Source organism: Homo sapiens, chromosome 1 (assembly GCF_000001405.40).
Source record: "Homo sapiens chromosome 1, GRCh38.p14 Primary Assembly".
In the NCBI taxonomy this organism is placed as follows: Eukaryota; Metazoa; Chordata; class Mammalia; order Primates; family Hominidae; genus Homo; species Homo sapiens.
In genome coordinates this window covers 166,492,210-166,508,963 of record NC_000001.11, presented here as the reverse complement: position 1 = coordinate 166,508,963, position 16,754 = coordinate 166,492,210, and positions in this window count along the sequence as shown.

Here is a 16,754-nt window from a genome sequence, read left to right as displayed (position 1 = left end):
CAGTAAGTGGTAGATTGGGGACGCAGTCACAGGTAGTTTGGGTCAAGGTCAGTTCTGTTCACAACTAGGGTTAATGAAGACAGATCTTATAATTTTGTCGTTCTTTTTTTCGAAAATTGGCATGCCTCCTTTCCACCTATGCTTTTATACTTTTACTATACATAGCTTTACAAGCCATAAATTATTGCTTTGTGCATTTTAAACCTATATAAATGCTGTATCATAACATGTATAACTCTGCATCTTGTTTTATTTTCTACTCAAATGGTGCTTTCAAAATTATTATGAATACCACAGAATCTTTAAAAATACCATTTTAGCAGCTATTAATATAATACGCTTTTTTTCTTCTTTAACTTGCTGATGAAATAAAGTATATTGTTAGATTCTGTAAAGTTGAAGAATTCTTGTATTCCTGGTTCCTCTGCTGCTTGGTCATAGTATGTTTTATTCTTAATCCTCTGATGACTTCATTTGCTAATATTTTATTAAAATTTTGTGTCTATTTCTTTACATTAAATTAGTCTATAGCCTTTATATTCTATAAGTTGCCTTATCTGGTAGTAAGAATGTACTAGCGTTTTCAAAAATTGGGAATTTTTTTATATTCTGAGATAAATAAGATAGAAAACTATGGTTTTATATTTACTTGGAAGTCATGAAAACCAATCTGGAAATGGTATCTTTTAATATTTACTTAGTTTTTTGATTTGGTAATACAGTTACATGGCTCAATGTTTTTAAAAAATATGAATGAACTATCAATATAAAGTGAAAAGTCTCCTTTTCACCCATCTCTTGGTGTCCCACTGCCATCATCATAGAAAGCCAATGCAGTGTGTGTGTGTGTCTGTGTGTGTGAGTGTGTACACTTCCAGAGACTTTTTTATACTTATAGGAACAAGCACACATAGATATCTTCCCATCTACTACCACTTTTACAGAAATAGTCATAGATTATATACAAATTATTCTGAATCCTGTGTTTTCATTTAAAAGTATAAGCTGTAAAATTTTTTCAGCTCTTCAGTATTTCATTGAATCAATGTCACATTTAGGACTTTCAGGGTGTTTCCCACATTTTAATATTTTAAACAATATTTCAATGAATAACCTTAGACTTATGTAATTTCACATGTGTAAAAATATGAGCTCACGTATATGCTATATGTCTAAAAGTTACAAGGTATGAAATTGCTCTGTCAGAAAGTATATGCCTATGTCATTTAGGTAGATATTGCCAAGCTGCCTTGTGCAGAGGTTGTATACAGTGCTTTTTAAATGGTAGTTCTTTAATTACATGTCTAATCTCTTTTGTGATTATTAATCTGTTTAGTTTTATATTTTCCTTGGGTCAATTTTAATATTTTTATATTTAATTATTTATAATATTTAATATTATGAATAAATATTATTTATAATATTTAATATTATTATAAATAAATCATATAATATTTAATTTTTTATTTGGGTTGTTATCTATTTACTTTAATTTAAATATATATTTTTTGCCAGATAATTGCACTTTTCTGTAATTATTTTAGTTTTTTCAATATCTGAGGTAATATACCACTTAAAAATTCCTAATATAAAGAAACAAACAACAGACACTGGGCTCTACTTGAGGGTGGAGAGTGGGATGAGGGAGAGGAGAAGAAAAGATAACTATTGGGTACTGAGCTTAATAACTGGGTGATGAAATAATCTGTACAACAAACCCATAGCATGTGTTTATCTATGTAACAAACCTTCACACGTACCCCAAAACCTAAAATAAAAGTTAAAAAAATTTAATACTATACTTCTGCCTAATTCTTCTAACACAGGAATTATCTGTTTTACAGTTCTCTTCAAATAATCAACTTTTGGTTTTATTTATACAACAAGTAATTTTGGATTTATGCTTTATGCTAATTTCAGCTTTGTCTTTATTAATTCCCTTCTCTTTGGTTTCCTTTTGGTTTATTTATTGCTTTTGTTCTAATTTTTAAAATTGAACCATTGTTCTTTATTTTTTAAGAGATATTATAGGTATTACAGCTGAGTTTAAAGTTATATCCTGAAGGTTTGGATTTAATACGTTCTTTTTTCATTACTTTCTTTACAAATTAAATTTTTGATTTTGATTTCTTCTTTGATCCAAGGATCTTTTAGGATTGTGCTCCTTAACTTTCAAATAGAGTAGTTGTTGATTTTTAAAAATGTGTTGAATTTCATGTATTTAACATAAAATTTTTTTTAAATTCAGTATCTTTTTGTAGGGTACAACTAAATATGTCTATTAAATTGTATTAGTCAAATATTTTATATTTTTTAGCATTTATCTACTTCTTGTAGCAAAATTTGTTAATATATTTACATCTCTTACACCAAATGTGTGTCTTCTCAATCTGTTAATTGATGTATCTCTGCCCAGTTAGAAATCTAAAAGTTTTATTTTAGATATTTGACCATGAAAATTTTCAAACTAAAAAAGAGAAAATAGGGTATTAAACAAAAATTTGTGCAAGCTTGTAAAAGAAAAAAAGATTACAAGAAAAAAACAATAAAATAAAATGTATAAAATAATTGATATAGAAATAGAATCAATTTCAATACACGTAATTGAATGAACTATATACCAACTTACCAACTTAATTCCTTTTATCAAAAGGTAGAGAGTAGCCAGGTGCAGTGGCTCAGTCCTGTAATCCCAGCACTTTGGGAGCCTGAGACGGGTAGATCACTTGAGCTCAGGAGTTTGACCAGCCTGGGCAACATGGCAAAACCCCATCTCTACAAAAAAATTCAAAAAGTTAGCTGGGCATGATGGCGGGGGCCTGTAGTCCCAGCTACCAGGGAGGCTGGTATGGGAGAATTGCTTGAGCCTGGCAGGTCAAGGCTGCAGTGAGCCGAGATCACACCACTGCAATCCAGCCTGGGTGACAAAGTGAGACCCTGGCTCAAAAAAAAAGAGAATAATCAATTGTATGTTTTAAAGAATTCAATTACAATATAGATTGCTTGTTTAAAAAAAAAAAAACACTAAGAGAGAATGATTTTAATGAGAGAAATTGGAAGCAGAGGTACAAGAAAATATATACCAGGCAAATACAAGCAGATGAATTTTTTTTTTTTTTTTAGGAGACAGGGTCTCAGTCTCACTGTGTTGCCCATGATGGAGTGCAGTGGCATAATCATAGTTCACTGTAACCTTGAACTCTGGCACTCAAAACATCATCCCACCTCAGCTTCCTAAGTAGCAAGGACTACAGGTGCACACCTCCATACCTCCACACCTGGCTTTTTTTCTGTTGTTGTTAGAGACAGAGTACTACTATGTTGCCCAGGCTGGTCTTGAACTCCCCATCTCAAGTGATCCTCCTGCCCTGGCCTCCCAAAGTTCTGGGATTACACGAGCAGATGCTTTTTGAATGTAGCTTATTCGACAGCCTTAGATTTCTGTGCAAAGACTGCACTAAAGAAAAGGGGATTGGGCAGCCACCGTGGCTCACGCCTGTAATCCCAGCACTTTGGGAGGCCAAGATGGGAGGGCTGCTTGAGCTCAGCAGTTCAAGACCAGCCTGAGCAATATAGTAAGACCTTGTCTCTACAAAAATTTTAAAAATTAGCTAGGGTGTGGTGGTGTGCACCTGTAGTCCCAGCCACTTGGGAGATGGAGGCAGGAGGATCGCTTGAGCCCAGGAGTTCAAGGCTGCAGAGAGCTATGATCTCACTACTGTACTCCAGCCTGAGAGACAGAGCAAGATCTTATCTCAAAAAAAATGAACAAATAATATAAAATAAAACAAAAGAAGAGAAGATCGCCTGGCCACTTTTTACTCAAAAAGTGGTCTGAGGACAAGTAGCACCTGCATCATCTTGGAGCTTCTTAGAAATTTATTAATAGATTCTCAGGCCCAGCCCAGACCTACTGAGTTAGAAACTGCATGTTTTTCTTTCATTTGTATTTTTATTGAACACGTACAATTATACATATTTCTGGGGTACAATGTGATGTTTTGATACATGTATTATTGTGTTAATAATCAAATCAGGGTAATTAGCATATTCATCACCTCAAACACATATTTTTTATTTGTAGTAGAACATTAAACATATTCTCTTCTAGTTAATTTGAGATATAGATTCCCATATTGTTCATTATAGTTACCCTTCTGTGCAAAAGAACACCAGAACCTATGCTTCCTTTCTAATTGTAACTTTGTACCCATTGACCAACCTCTTCTCATCCTTCCATCCTCCCTACCCTCACTAGTTTCTGGCAGCCACTGTCCTATTTACTACTTCTATGAGATCAACTTATTTAGGTTATACTTATGAGTGATAACATGAGGTATTTGCTTTTCTGTATCTGACCAATGTCATTTAACATAATGTCCTCCAGGCTCATCCATGTTGTTGCAAATGACAGGATTGCATTCTTTTTCATGGCTTTTACAGGATTTCATTGTGTATAGACACCACATTTTCTTTTTTTGTTTGTTTTATTTTACTTTAAGTTCTGGGATACATGTGCAGAACATGCAGGTTTGTTACATACGTATACATGTGCCATGGTGGTTTGCTGCACCTGTCAACCCGTCATCTAGGTTTTAAGCCCCACATGCATTAGGTATTTTTCCTAATGCTCTCCCTCCCCTTGTCCCTAACCCCCCAACAGCCCCCAGTGTGTGATGTTCCCCTCCCTGTGTCCATGTGCTCTCATTGTTCAACTCCCACTTGTGAGTGAGAACATGCAGTGTTCGGTTTTCTGTTCCTGTGTTAGTTTCCTGAGGATGATGGTTTCCAGATTCATCCATGTCCCTGCAAAGGACATGAACTCATTCTTTTTTATGGCTGCATAGTACTCCATGGTGTACATATGCCACATTTTCTTTATCCAGTCTATCATTGTTGGGCATCTGGGTTGGTTCCAAGTCTTTGCTGTGGTCAATAGTGCTGGAATAAACATATGTGTGCATGTGTCCTTCTAGTAGAATGATTTATAATCCTTTGAGTATATACCCAGTAATGGGATTGCTGGGTCAAATGGTATTTTTGGTTCTATATCCTTGAGGAATCACCACATTGTCTTCCACAATGGTTGAAGTAATTTACACTCTCAACAACGGTGTAAAAGCGTTCCTATTTCTCCACATCCCCGCCAGCATCTATTGTTTCCAGACTTTTTATTATTTTTTTATTATACTTTAAGTTTTAGGGTACATGTGCAAAACGTGCAAGTTTGTTACATATGTATACATGTGCCATGTTGGTGTGCTGCACCCATTAACTCATCATTTAGCATTAGGTATATCTCCCCCCTTCTCCCACCCCACAACAGGCCTCAGTGTGTGATGTTCGCCTTCCTGTGTCCATGTGCTCTCATTGTTCAATTCCCACCCATGAGTGAGAACATGAGGTGTTTGGTTTTTTGTCCTTGCTAAAGTTTGCTGAGAATGATGGTTTCCACCTTCATCCATGTCCCTACAAAGGACATGAACTCATCATTTTTTATGGCTGCATAATATTCCATGGTGTATATGTGCCACATTTTCTTTATCCAGTCTATCATTGTTGGACATTTGGCTTGGTTCCAAGTCTTTGCTATTGTGAATAATGCTGCAATAAACATACGTGTGCATGTGTCTTTATAGCAGCATCATTTATAATCCTTTGGGTATATACCCAGTAATGGGATGGCTGGGTCAAATGGTATTTCTAGTTCTAGATCCCCGAGGAATCGCCATACTGACTTCCACAATGGTTGAACTAGTTTATGGTCCCACCAACAGTGTAAAAGTGTTCCTATTTCTCCACATCCTCTCCAGCACCTGTTGTTTCCTGACTTTTTAATGATTGCCATTCTAACTGGTGTGAGATGGTATCTCATTGTGGTTTTGATTTGCATTTCTCTGATCACCAGTGATGATGAGAATCTTTTCATGTGTCTTTTGGCTGCATAAATGTCTTCTTTTGAGAAGTGTCTGTTCATATCCTTCGTCCACCTGTTGATGGGGTTCTTTATTTATTTCTTGTAAATTTGTTTGAGTTCTTTGTAGATTCTGGATATTAGCCCTTTGTCAGATGAGTAGATTGCAAAAATTTTCCCCCATTCTGTAGGTTGCCTGTTCACTCTGATGGTAGTTTCTTTTGCTGTGCAGAAGCTTTTTGGTTTAATTGGATCCCATTTGTCAATTTTGGCTTCTGTTACCATTGTTTTTGGTGTTTTAGACATGAAGTCCGTGCCCATGCCTATCTCCTGAATGGTATTACCTATGTTTTATTTTAGTGTTTTTATGGTTTTAGCTCTAACATTTAAGTCTTTAATCCATCTTGAATTAATTTTTGTATAAAGTGTAAGGAAGGGATCCAGTTTCAGCTTTGTACCTATGCCTAGCCAGTTTTTCCAGCACCATTTATTAAATAGGGAATCCTTTCCCCATTTTTGTTTTTGTCAGGTTTGTCAAAGATCAGATAGTTGTCGATATGTGGCATTATTTCTGAGGGCTCTGTTCTGTTCCATTGGTCTATATCTCTGTTTTGGTACCAGTACCGTGCTGTTTTGGTTACTGTAGCCTTGCAGTATAGCTTGAAGTCAGGTAGCGTGATGCCTCCAGCTTTGTTCTTTTGGCTTAGGATTGACTTGGTGATGCGGGCTCTTTTTTGGTTCCATATGAACTTTAAAGTAGTTGTTTCCAATTCTGTGAAGAAAGTCATTGGTAGCTTGAAGGGGATGGCATTGAATCTATAAATTACCTTAGGCAGTATGGCCATTTTCATGATATTGATTACCCATGAGCATGGAATGTTCTTCCATTTCTTTGCATCCTCTTTTATTTCATTGAGCAGTGGTTTGTAGTTCTCCTTGAAGAAGTCGTTCATGTCCCTTGTAAATTGGATTCCTAGGTATTTTATTCTCTTTGAAGCAATTTGTGAATGGGAGTTCACTCATGATTTGGCTCTCTGTTTGTTATTGGTGTATAAGAATGCTTGTGATTTTTGCACATTGATTTTGTATCCTGAGACTTTGCTGAAGTTGCTTATCAGCTTAAGGAGATTTTGGGCTGAGACGATGGTTTCTAGATATACAATCATGTCATCTGCAAAGAGGGACAATTTGACTTCTTTTCCTAATTGAATACCCTTTATTTCCTTCTCCTGCCTAATTGCCCTGGCCAGAACTTCCAACACTATGTTAAATAGGAGTGGTGAGAGAGGGCATCCCTGTCTTGTGCCAGTTTTCAAAGGGAATGCTTCCAGTTTTTGCCCATTCAGTATGATATTGGCTATGGGTTTGTCATAGATAGCTCTTATTATTTTGAGTTATGTCCCATCAATAACTAATTTATTGAGAGTTTTTAGCATGAAGCGTTGTTGAATTTTGTCAAAGGCCTTTTCTGCATCTATTGAGATAATCATGTGGTTTTCGTCATTGGTTCTGTTTATATGCTGGATTATGTTTATTGATTTGCATATGTTGAATCAGCCTTGCATCCCAGGGATGAAGCCCACTTGATCATGGTGGATAAGCTTTTTGATGTGCTGCTGGATTCGGTTTGCCAGTATTTTATTGAGGATTTTTGCATCGATGTTCCTCAGGGATATTGGTCTCAAATTATCTTTTTTTGTTGTGTCTCCAGGGATGGAGGAAGATCTACCAAGCAAATGGAAAACAAAAAAAAAGGCAGGGGTTGCAATCCTAGTCTCTGATAAAAGAGACTTTAAACCAACAAAGATCAAAAGAGACAAAGAAGGCCATTACATAATGGTAAAGGGATCAATTCAACGAGAAGATCTGACTATCCTAAATATATATGCACCCAATACAGGAGCAACCAGATTCATAAAGCAAGTCCTTAGAGACCTACAAAGAGACTTAGACTCCCACACAATAATATTGGGAGACTTTAACACCCCATTGTCAACATTAGACAGATCAGTGAGACAGAAAGTCAACAAGGATATCCAGGAATTGAACTCAGCTCTGCACCAAGCAGACCTGATAGACATCTACAGAACTCTCCACCCCAAATCAACAGAATATACTTTCTTTTCAGCACCACACGGCACTTATTCCAAAATTGACCACATAGTTGGAAGTAACACACTCCTCAGCAAATGTAAAAGAACAGAAATCATAACAAACTGTCTCTCAGACCACAGTGCAATCAAACTAGAACTCAGGATTAAGAAACTCACTCAAAACCGCTCAACTACATGGAAACTGAACAACCTGCTCCTGAATGACTACTGGGTACATAACGAAATGAAGGCAGAAATAAAGATGTTCTTTGAAAACAACGAGAACAAAGACACAACATACCAGAATCTCTGGGACACATTCAAAGCAGTGCGTAGAGGGAAATGTATAGCACTAAATGCCCACAAGAGAAAGCAGGAAAGATCTAAAATTGACACCCTAACATCACAATTAAAAGAACTAGAGAAGCAAGAGCAAACACATTCAAAAGCTAGCAGAAGGCAAGAAATAACTAAGATCAGAGCAGAACTGAAGGAAATAGAGACACAAAAAACCCTTCAAAGAATCAATGAATCCAGGAGCTGGTTTTTTTTTGAAAAGATCAACAAAATTGATAGACCGCTAGCAAGACTAATAAAGAAGAAAAGAGAGAAGAATCAAATAGATGCAATAAAAAATGATCAAGGGGATATCACCATGGATCCCACAGAAATACAAACTACCATCAGAGAATACTATAAATAACTCTATGCAAATGAACTAGAAAATCTAGAAGAAATGGATAAATTCCTGAACACATACACCCTCCCAAGACTAAACCAGGAAGAAGTTGAATCTCTGAATACACCAATAACAGGCTCTGAAATCGAGGCAATAATTAATAGCTTACAAACAAAAAAAAGTCCAGGACCAGGTGCATTCACAGCCGAATTCTACCAGAGGTACAAGGAGGAGCTGGTACCATTCCTTCTGAAACTATTCCAATCAATAGAAAAAGAGGGAATCCTCCCTAACTCATTTTATGAGGCCAGCATCATCCTGTTTCCAGACTTTTTAATGATCGCCATTCTAACTGGCGTGAGATGGTATCTCATTGTGGTTTTGGTTTGCATTTCTCTAATGACCAGTGATGATGAGCTTTTTTTCACATGTTTGTTGGCCTCTTAAATGTCGTCTTTTGAGAAGTGTCTGTTCATATACTTTGCCCACTTTTTGATGGGGTTGTTTGCTTTTTTCTTGTAAATTTGTTTAAGTTCCTTGTAGATTCTCGATATTAGCCCTTTGTCAGATGGATAGATTGCAAAAACTTTCTCCCATTCTGTAGGTTGTCTGTTCACTCTGATTGTTTCATTTGCTGAACGGAAGCTCTTTAGTTTAATTAAATCCCATTTGTCAATTTTGGCTCCTGTTGCAATTGCTTTTGGTGATTCAATCATGAAGTCTTTGCCCATGCCTATGTCCTGACTGGTATTGCCTAGGTTTTCATCTAGGGTTTTTATGGTTTTAGGTTTTACATATAAGTCTCTAATCCATCTTGAGCTAATTTTTGTATAAGATGTAAGCAGGGGTCCAGTTTCTGCTTTCTACCTATGGCTACCCAGTTTTCCCAGCACCATTTATTAAATAGGGAATCTTTACCCCATTGCTTGTTTTTGTCAGGTTTGTCTGAGATCAGATGTTTGTAGATGTGTGGTGTTATTTCTGAGGCTTCTGTCTTGTTCCATTAGCCTATATATCTGTTTTGATACCAGTACCATGCTGTTTTGGTTACTGTAGCCTTGTAGTATAGTTTGAAGTCAGGTAGCGTGATGCCTTTTTGCTTAGTATTTTTGCTTAGGATGTTCTTTTTGCTTAGGATTGTCTTGGCTATACGGGCTCTTTTTTGGTTCCATATGAAATTTAAAGTAGCTTTTTCTTTTTCTTTGAAGAAAGTCAGTGGTAGCTTGATGAGAATAGCATTGAATTTATAAATTACTTTGGGCAGTATGGCCATTTTCACGATACTGATTCTTCCTATCCATGAACATGGAATTTTTTTCCATTTGTTTGTGTCCTCTCTTATTTCCTTGAGCAGTGGTTTGTAGGGTTGTTCTCCATTCATTGTTGGACACTTAGTTTGATTCCATATCTTCACTATTGTGAATAACACTGCAATAAACAGGAGTGCAGATATCTCTTTGACATACTGATTTAATTTCCTTTCTCACACTCCTAATAAAGACATACCCACAACTGGGTAATTTATAAAGAAAAAGAGGTTTAATGGACTCACAGTTCCACGTGGCTCGGGAGGCCTCATGATCATGGTGGAAGGCAAAAGGCATATCTTACATGTTGGCAGGCAAGAGAGAAATGGGAACCAAGCAAAAGGGGTTTCCCCTTATAAAACCATCAGATCTCATGAGACTTATTCACTACCACGAGAACAGTATGGGAGAAAACGCCCCCCATGACTCAATTCTCTATCACCAGGTCCCTCCAACAACAAGTGGGAATCATGGGAGCTACAATTCAAGATGAGATTTGGGTGGAGACACAGCCAAATCATATCAGATATATACCCAGTAACAGGATTGCTGGATTGTATGGTCATTCTACTTTTAATTTTTTAAGGAAACTCCATACTTTTTCCCATAATGGCTGTACTAATTTATATTCACACCAACAGTGTGTAAGGGTTCCCTTCTCTCTGCATACTCACCAATACTTGCTATCTTTTGCTTTTTGAAAATAGTCTTTCTAACTGGAGTGAGGTGATATTTCACTGGGGTTTTGATTTGCATTTCCCTGATGATTAGTGATGTTGAACATTTTTTCATATACCTGTTGGCCATTTGTATGTCTTGTTTGGTGAAATGTCTGTTCCTTGAATATTTTGCCCATTTTTTAATAAAATTTTTTGTTTTTATATTACTGAGTTATTTGAGTTCCTTATATATTCTGGATATTAACCCACTGTCAGATGTATAGTTCACAAATATTTTTCCACATGTGGAAATGTGAGATGCCTGCTCCCCATTCACCTTCTGTCATGATTTTAAGCTTCCCAAGCCCTCCCCAGAAGCAGATGCCAGTGCTATACTTCCTGTACAGCCTGCAGAACCATGAGCCGATTAAACCACTTTTCTTACAAATTACCTGGTCTCAGGTCTTTATAACAATGTAAGAATGGCCTAATACAGGGATTTTTGTGGTTTCATACAAACTTTAGGACTTTTTTCTATTTCTGTTAAAAACTTCATTGTTATTTTAATAAGGATTGCATTAGTTCTATAGATCACTTTTGACAGTATGGATGTTTTGAAAATATTAATTTTTCCAGTTCATGAACATGGAACATTTTTCCATGTATTTGTGTCCTCTTCAATTTCTTTCATCAGTTATTTTATAGCTTTCAGTATACAGATTTTTACCTCCTTGTTAAATTTATTGCTAGAAATCTTGGTGTTTTTTGTAGCTCATGTAAATACAATCCTTTTTCTGAATTCTTTTTCAGATAGTTTGCAGTGATTGCTAATGATTTTTTGTGTATTGATTTTGCATCCTAAAGCTTACCTGAATTTTTTTTAGTTCTAACAGTTTTTTTATAGTGAAATATTTAGGATTTTCTATATAAGATGATATTGTCTGTAAACAGGGACAATTTGACTTCCTTCTTTCTAATGTAAATACTTTTTAAAAATTTATTTATTTATTTTTGCCTAATTGTTTGGCTAGGACTTCCAGTACTACATTGAATAGAAGGGGTGAAAATTTGCAGGCATTGTTATCTCATTTCAGATATTAGAAGAAAAGCTTTCAACTTTTCCCCATTTAGTATGATTTTAGTTATGGATTTGTAATATATGGCTTTCATTGTGTTGAGGTATGTACTTTATATACCTAATTTATTGAGAGTTTTCATCATACAGGGATGTTAAATTTTGTCAAATGCTTTCTCTGTGTCTATTAAAATGACCATATGGCTTTTGTCCTTCTTTGTGTTAATATGATGTATCACATTTATTGATTTGCATATATTAAACCATTCATGCATTCCTGCGAGAAATCTCAGTTGATCATGGCCTTTTACTGTGCTGCTGAAATGAGTCTGCTATTATTTTGTTGAAAATTTTTGCATCTATGTCCATCAGATATATTGGCCTGTAGTTTTCTCTTTCTGGTTGTGTCCTTGTCTGGTTTTAGTATCAGCATAATGCTGGCCTTATATAATAATGAATTTGGAAGTATTTTCTTTTCTTCAATTTTTTGAAATAGTATGAGAAGAATTGTTATTCTTCCTTAAATATTTGGTAGAATTCAGCAGTGAAGGCATCAGGTCCTGGGATTTTCTTGGATGGGAGACTATATTACTGATTCATCTTTCTCATTATTGATCTGTTACAGATCTTCTATTTCTTCATAATTCAATTTTGGTATGTTGTATGTGTCTGAGAATTTATGTGTAACAATTATAAGTACATACACCCAATGTTGGACTACCCAAATATACAAAACAAATATTATTTTATCTAAAGGGAGAGAACAGACTGTGATACAGTAATAGTAGGAGACTTTAGCACCCCAGTTTCAGCAATAGACAGATCATCCAGACAGAAAATTGACAAAGAATTATCAGATTTAAACTGCACTCTAGCCCAAATGGATCTAACCAACATTTATAGTACATTACATCCAATAGTTGCAAAATACACATTCTTCTCAACTGCGCATGAAACGTCTCTGGGATAAATCACACATTCAGCCACAAAACAAGTGTTAACAAATTTAAGAATATAGATATATCAAGTATATTTTCTGATCACAATAGTATAAAACTGGAAATCAGTAACAGGAGGAACTTCAGAAACTTTACTAATATGTGGAAATTGAACAACATGGTCCTGAATAACCAATGGGTTAATGAAGAAATTAAAAGGAAAATTTAAAAATTTCTTGAGACAAAATTGAAACACGATGTTCCAAAACCTATGGGATACAGCAAATGCAGTTTTAGGAGTGAAGTTTATATAAATAAATGCATACACCAAAAAAAAGAAAAGTCAAATAAACGACCTAATGTTGTACTTCAAGGAAGTAGAAAAACAAAACAAACTAAATCCAAAATTACTGGAAGGAAGGAAATAAAAGCAGGACAGAAATAAATGAAATAGAGAGTTTAAAAAATACAAAAATCAACAAAATTAAGACTTGATTTTTTGAAAAGATAGAAAAAAAATCAACAAACTTTTAGCTACCCTAAGAAAAAGAGAGAAGACTCTGTTTTGGTACCAGTACCATGCTGTTTTGGTTACTGTAGCCTTGTAGTATAGTTTGAAGTCAGGTAGTGTGATGCCTCCAGCTTTGTTCTTTTGGCTTAGGATTGACTTGGCAATGCGGGCTCTTTTCTGGTTCCATATGAACTTTAAAGTAGTTGTTTCCAATTCTGTGAAGAAAGTCATTGGTAGCTTGATGGGGATGGCATTGAATCTATAAATTACCTTGAGCAGTATGGCCATTTTCACGATATTGATTCTTCCTACCTATGAGCATGGAATGTTCTCCCATTTCTTTTTATCCTCTTTTATTTCATTGAGCAGTGGTTTGTAGTTCTCCTTGAAGAGGTCCTTCATGTCCCTTGTAAGTTGGATTCCTAGGTATTTTATTCTCTTTGAAGCAATTGTGAATGGGAGTTCACTCATGATTTGGCTCTCTGTTTGTTTGTTATTGGTGTATAAGAATGCTTGTGATTTTTGCACATTGATTTTGTATCCTGAGACTTTGCTGAAGTTGCTTATCAGCTTAAGGAGATTTTGGGCTGAGACGATGGTTTCTAGATATACAATCATGTCATCTGCAAAGAGGGACAATTTGACTTCTTCTTTTCCTAATTGAATACCCTTTATTTCCTTCTCCTGCCTAATTGCCCTGGCCAGAACTCCCAACACTATGTTGAATAGGAGTGGTGAGAGAGGGCATCCCTGTCTTGTGCCAGTTTTCAAAGGGAATGCTTAATGGAACAGAACAGAGCCCTCAGAAATAACGCCAAATATCTACAACTATCTGATCTTTGACAAACCTGAGAAAAACAAGAAATGGGAAAGGATTCCCTATTTAATAAATGGTGCTGGGAAAACTGGCTAGCCATATGTAGAAAGCTGAAACTGGATCCCTTCCTTACACCTTATACAAAAATTAATTCAAGATGGATTAAAGACTTAAACGTTAGACCTAAAACCATAAAAACCCTAGAAGAAAACCTAGGCAATACCATTCAGGACATAGGCATGGGCAAGGACTTCATGTCTAAAACACCAAAAGCAATGGCAACAAAACCAACATAGAAAAATGGGATCTAATTAAACTAAAGAGCTTCTGCACAGCAAAAGAAACTACCATCAGAGTGAACAGGCAACCTACAAAATGGGAGAAAATTTTCTCAACCTACTCATCTGACAAAGGGCTAATATCCAGAATCTACAATGAACTCAAACAAATTTACAAGAAAAAAACAAACAACCCCATCAAAAAGTGGGCGAAGGACATGAACAGACACTTCTCAAAAGAAGACATTTATGCAGCCAAAAAACACATGAAAAAATGCTCACCATCACTGGCCATCAGAGAAATGCAAATCAAAACCACAATGAGATACCATCTCACACCAGTTAGAATGGCAATCATTAAAAAGTCAGGAAACAACAGGTGCTGGAGAGGATGTGGAGAAATAGGAACACTTTTACACTCTTGGTGGGACTGTAAACTAGTTCAACCATTGTGGAAGTCAGTGTGGCGATTCCTCAGGGATCTAGAACTAGAAATACCATTTGACCCAGCCATCCCATTACTAGGTATATACCCAGAGGACTATAAATCATGCTGCTATAAAGACACTTGCACACGTATGTTTATTGCAGCACTATTCACAATAGCAAAGACTTGGAACCAAGCCAAATGTCCAACAATGATAGACTGGATTAAGAAAATGTGGCACATATACACCATGGAATACTATGCAGCCATAAAAAATGATGAGTTCATGTCCTTTGTAGGGACATGGATGAAGGTGGAAATCATCATTCTCAGTAAACTATCGCAAGGACAAAGAACCAAACACCACATGTTCTCACTCATAGGTGGGAATTGAACAATGAGAACACATGGACACAGGAAGGGGAACATCACACTCTGGGGACTGTTGTGGGGTGGGGGGAGAGGGGAGGGATGGCATTAGGAGATATACCTTGTGCTAAATGACAAGTTAATGGGTGCAGCACACCAGCATGGCACATGTATACATATGTAACTAACCTGCACACTGTGCACATGTACCCTAAAACTTAAAGTATAATAATAATAAAATAAAATAAAAAGAGAGAAAACTCAAATAAATACAATTAGAGATGAAAAAGAAAACATTACAACTGATACCCCCAGAAATACAAAGGATCATGAGAGAGTATTATGAACAATTGTGTGCCAACAAATTGGATAACATAGAAGAAATGGATAAATTCCAGAATCTGCATTTTTTTGCAACAAGACAGTTGTTTTTTATTTTAATTTTTAAATTTTTATGGATACATAGTAGGTATATATATTTATGTGTTACATGAGATTTTATGACACAGACATGTAATGCATAATAATCACATAAACATAAATGGAGTATTCATCACCTCAAGTATTTATCCTTTTTTTTTAACTTTTACTTTAAGTTCAGGGGTACATGTGCAGGTTTGTTACATAGGTAAACTTGTGTCATGGGGGTTTGTTGTACAGATTACTTCATCACCCAGGTATTAAGCCTAGTACTCATTAGTTATTTTCATTCCTTATTTTCCCTGACCCTCTCCCTCCTCCTATCCTCTACCCTCCAACAGGACCTGGTGTTTGTTGTTCCCTCTTATGTGCCCATATGTTCTCATTGTTCAGCTCCCACTTATAAGTGAGAACATGCAGGATTTGATTTTCTGTTCCCGTGTTAGTTTGCTAAGGATAAGGGCCTCTAGTGCCATCCATGTCCCTGCAAAGGACATGATCTCATTCTTTTTTATGGCAGCATAGTATTCCATGATGCATATATAACACATTTTCTTTAATCTCTCATTGATGGGCATTTAGGTTGATTTCATGTCTTTGCTATTGTGCATACTGCTGCAGTGAACAAACATGTGCATGTGTCTTTATGGTAGTATGATTTATATTCCTTTGGGTATATACCCAGTAATGGGATTGCTGGCTTGAATGTCATTTCTTTCTTTTCTTTTTTTTTTTTTAATTATACTTTAAGTTCTAGGATACATGTGCACAGCATGCAGGTTTGTTACACATGTATACATGTTGAATGGCATTTCTTTCTTTAGATCTTAGAGGAATCACCACACTGTCTTCCACAATGGTGGAACTAATTTACACTCCTACCAACAGTGTATAAGTGTTTCTTTTTCTCTACAACCTCACCAGCATCTGTCATTTTTTGACTTTTTAGTAATAGCCACATAATCTGCATTTTAACAAGATTTCCAATATTAAAGTGTTAGGAGCACTCCCTTTATTGAATTTTTCAGCAAGAGACCTATGGAGACCATCAGTGAATGGTAAAGGAAAGCAGTTCTGACTAATCTGGATGCCTCTTTTTGTCTCTACTTTCTGTCCTTTCCATTCCACTCAGGAGAGAAACTTGGTTGGAGGTTTTGTTGGTTCTTAGGATATTGGGGCACGAAACCTCCATGCTGCCGAGGTGCCTCAGGGATGGCAAGTAAAGAGTAGGTCCTTCATGCCAGGAAGAGGGATAAGCAAACAGGTG